General features: G+C 40.5%; 1 pseudogene; it reads left to right on the top strand.

Moving 5' to 3' along the window:
- Positions 2,071–3,425, top strand: UQCRFS1P3 (ubiquinol-cytochrome c reductase, Rieske iron-sulfur polypeptide 1 pseudogene 3; annotated as a pseudogene).
- Positions 3,426–4,699: the final 1,274 nt, after the last annotated feature.

Raw genomic sequence — 4,699 nt, 5'->3', positions numbered from 1 at the left:
CATTTTAATAAATTAGACTTGCACGTTTGGGGAATTTTGGAGACATAGTATGGAAATATATTTCTGGACTTGAGTCTAAATAGCAACGCATTGCTTAAAATTCCCAGAAATTTTGTATTTACTTTAAACAAATTTTCCTTTAACTTTCGGGATGCCGATTTACTAGATCTTGGTTGGGACCGGGAATGCATATTTTACAAAGTTCCCTAGGGAGTTCTGATCATCTTCTATGTTTGGAAATATCTATGTTGGGCTATCCATTTTTTAAAATTGGGCAATCTGTTTTTTTTTCTAGCAAATATGAATACATTTCTTTTGACCTCCACCCTCTCCTCATAGATTTAGCATCTATTTTTGAACCTCATAAGGTCTTGGACAATTTGAGAAAGATTAGAAGAAAGCAAAGATGCTCATTTGGGAGCATCCTAATGTAGCCATTCCAAGGTTAAATGCACAGATATGAAGCTGGCTTCCTAGATCCGAAGCCTAACTCTCTAGCTGTGTATGTTACTTTATGTGTTTGTGCCTTTGTTTTTACATGTAAAATAGTAATAGTGCTTCCTCATTGGTAATTAATTGAGCTACAAATGAAGTACTTACAAAGGTGTCAGTGTATAGGATATTCTGAATTAGAGTTGGCTATTATTATTATTACCATTGGAATAAATACCTATTATTTTTCAGGTGGGACTGCCAAGATGAATAGACATAATCCTCGATCTAACCACTTCACAGTTTATCATCGGAGTCAAGTTTGCAGATAAACAATTGCCATGCAACTTTCAAGGTACAAGTTTAAAAGTATATATGAATTTTATTGGGAAGACATCAGTGACAGCTTCACAGCAATGTTGTCACCTGAGCTGTATATTTAGGTGAATTATTTGGACATGTAAGTAGGGGAAAAGTCATTCCAGATGAAGAGAATGCTATGACAAAGGTGCTGGGGACTGGAAAAGCCTAGCTTTCCAGAGACTGAGTATTGCTTTAGTGGGCAATAAGAGAAGATAGTAAAGAGAGCTATATTAGGATTTGCTTTAGGGGACTCAGTGCTGGCTAGATCCTGAAGGGCCCTGAATACCATGCCAAGGAACTTGGCTTTTTTCCATCCTTAATGAGAGCCATGAAAAGATTTTAAGCCAGGAAATGATGCTATTAGATTTTCATATAGGATTGTAGAAGGGTGTTAGTAGAGTTGAAACTAGAGGCAGGCACACCAGTTAAGAGGCTGTTACTATGATTCAGGCAAGGCTTTGTAAGGGTCAAAACCAGAATGGTGACAATGGGATGGAGAGAGCAATACGTGATAGCTGCTGGTAAGAAGATCCCAGACATCTTGCAGGAGGAATGCTGGTTACTGGCAGATGGGAAGGAATGGGAAGCAAAAAGATTCCCCTGATATGTCACTCAGCAAATAAATGGTTGAATCTTCCTTCAAATTGAGCTAGGAAATACAGCATAAAGAGCATATTTTGGAGGAAATATGAGTTGTGTTTTATTCTTGCTAAGTTTGTGTGTGTGTGTGTGTGTGTGTGTGTTGGGGGAGTGTTGATATATTCAGATAAAGCTATCCAGAAGGTGGCTGGATATTTAGGTCATAATCTTTGGGAAGAAAGCAGGGTTTGGAGCATTGATTTTGGAGTTGTGTCCTAAAGCCACACTTATGAGTTAAGATTCGATTTTACTACATGTACTGCATGTAACAGTGACTTAATGAAGACAAAAATGCATTTCTATCTCACCTAAAAGAATTTTAGAGATATATAATTCAGAGAGAGAATCATAACTCTACAACAATTTTATCTCTTTCCAGCTCACTTCTCAGCTACCTAGGGCAAAAGCTGCTGCCAGAGTTCTAACATTCATATGTTTGCATATTGTTATGGGTTGCAATTTGGAGAAGAAAAGAGGGCTGTGATCTTCCTTTCAAAAGAAACTCCTTGGAAGCACCACACTTCTGTTTATTTCTCATTGACTAGAACATAGTCAAGTCATGGGATTCTGGGTAATGTAGTAATTTAACTGGATGGATATATGCCCAGCTAGTTGGAGTTCTGTTATAAATGTAGATTAGCGCCCATCCTGTTGGCCACGTGCCATGAAGTGGCGGGTGCACTGTGGCCCCTGGTGTGGGCCGCGGTGCCTGCTGCCCCGGAGCTGCCTGTGCTGGACATGAAGCGGCCCTTCCTGTGCCAGGAGCCGCTGGGTGGCCAGGACATGGGCCGTAATGTCCCTGCTTCTGTTAATTGTTCCCTTATGGACATCAAAGTGCTTGCCTTTTCTGGGTAGCATTGCACTGAAGTTTTAGATAGTACAAAGTCTTCAAAAAAAAGCAGCAAGGCTAGAAAAGGCTACTCTTATTTGTCAACTGCAACAGCTACTATCGCATATGGTGCCAACAATGTCTTCCCCTAGTTTGTTCCCAGCGTGAGGGCTTCTGCTGATGTGTTGGCCATGTCAAAATCAAATTCAAGTTATCCGATATTCCAGAAGGCAAGAATATGGCTTTCAAAGATAGAGGCAAACTCCTGTTTGTGGGCCACAGAACCAAAAAGGAAACTAACTAGGAAGCTGCAGTTGAAAGGTCCCATTTGAGGGATCCACAGCATGATTTAGAACAAGTAAAGAAACCCCATTTTCTTTATGCAGTCTATCACCATCAATGATGACTGGATAAAGAAAATGTGGCATATGTACACCATGGAATACTATGCAGCCATAAAAAAGGATGAGTTCATGTCCTTTACAGGGACATGAATGAAGCTGGAAACCATCATTAACACAAGAACAGAAAACCAAACACCACATGTTCTCACTCATAAGTGGGAGTTGAACAATGAGAACGCATGGACACAGAGAGGGGAACATCACACACTGGGGCTGTCAGGGAGTGGGGGTCTAAGGGAGGGATAGCATTAGGTGAAATACCTAATGTAGATGACGGGTTGATGGATGCAGCAAACCACCATGGCACATGTATACCTATGTAACAAACCTGCACGTTCTGGACATGTACCCCATAACTTTAAGTAGGTTATCCTGATAAGTGTTTGCATTCGCCTTGGTTATGTACTCACTGCATTTGCAGGAGATTCTGGTAATTATTACTGCCCTTGCCATGGGTCACACTATGATGCTTTTGGCAGGATTAGGAAGGGGCCTGCACCTCCCAACCTTGAAGTTCCTTCATATGAGTTCACCAGTGTTGATATAGTCATTGTTGGTTAGAGACTTGGACTCAAGTCTTGGGCTTCTTTGTCACCTCAGAAGAGTTATTTGAGTGCAAGCCTTCTGCACTTCAAGTTGGTTGATGTGAATTATGTAAGAATTGATGATAATGTATTTGCAAACATTAATGTGAAGTAAGTTGAATTTAATGTTGAAGACCCAAGCATTCACTTAATAAAGCCATGGTTAAACATTATTAAGCTCACCCATACACTTGAAAAGTGCAATATCTTTTAGCTAATTTTAATTAAAATTAGCTAAGATAATTTTTTAGCTAATTTTAATTAAGAATTACAGACTGGTGTACAACCAAATATGGGAGAACAGTGAATATTTGGAGGCCACTCTCAGTCTCTGCTACTCCAGGGAGTGGATGCATTGAACCAGGAAAGGATATGAAGTGAGGAAGGTGAGCAGCAAGGATGGAACCTTGAAGACCATTCGAGCATTCCATCCTTTTGTAGCGACCTCTGGTAGGCTCTGCCCAGTTGCTCTTCCTCATCATGTTACATCTAGATGCTCCTTCCTTGTTTCTTTTCAGCCCCTGCTCTGTGCATCTGCCAATGCCTGGTTTCAGAACCCAAATTATGTCTACACTCTATCAAAGACATGACTGGAATAATAAAAATAAGTTTATTAAAACATCTACATATTTTTCTATATGTTACTTAAATTAAGTTTGTATGTTTGAATGAAATTTTTACCTTAAGTATAGGTATTCTGGAGTACTTTAGATTGCAATGTTCACAACTCACTTTGCTAACTTGACGTTCACAAATTTTGAAGATTCTCTCTGAAGCATGCTGTAAACCTCCACCCAACTTTTATGTTAATGAATCTTGTTAGGGTGTTGCTGTAAAAACACCAACAGTGGAAAAAACAATACCCTCACATTTGTTTTCTTAAAATCAAACCAACAATGCCCCTACATTTTCCTTCCCTTCCTTCCTTCCTTCCTTCCTTCCTTCCTTCCTTCCTTCCTCCCTCCCTCCTTCCCTTCCTTCCTTCCTTCCTTCCTTCCTTCCTTCCTTCCTTCCTTCCTTCCTTTCTTTCTTTCTTTCTTTCTTTCTTTCTTTCTTTCTTTCTTTCTTTCTTTCTTTCTTTCTTTCTTTCTTTCTTTCTTTCTTTCTTTCTTTCTTTCTTTCTTTCTTTCTTTCTTTCTTTCTTTCTTTAACGGAGTCTCGCTCTGTCACCCAGGCTGGAGTGCAGTGATGCGATCTCGGCTCACTGCAACCTCTGCCCCCCAGGTTGAAGCGATTCTCCTGCCTCAGCCTCCTGAGTAGCTGGGACTACAGGCATGTGCCACCAAGCCTGGCTAAGTTTTTGTATTTTTAGTAGAGGCAGGGTTTCACCGTGTTAGCCAGGATGGTCTCGATCTCCTGACCTCGTGATCTGCCCGCCTCGGCCTCCCAAAATACTGGAATTACAGGCGTGAGGCACCATACCCAGCCCAAAGCCCCTACATTTTAAA

Source organism: Homo sapiens, chromosome 6 (assembly GCF_000001405.40).
Source record: "Homo sapiens chromosome 6, GRCh38.p14 Primary Assembly".
Classification (NCBI taxonomy): Eukaryota; Metazoa; Chordata; class Mammalia; order Primates; family Hominidae; genus Homo; species Homo sapiens.
This window is presented reverse-complemented; position numbering and strand designations above follow the sequence as displayed.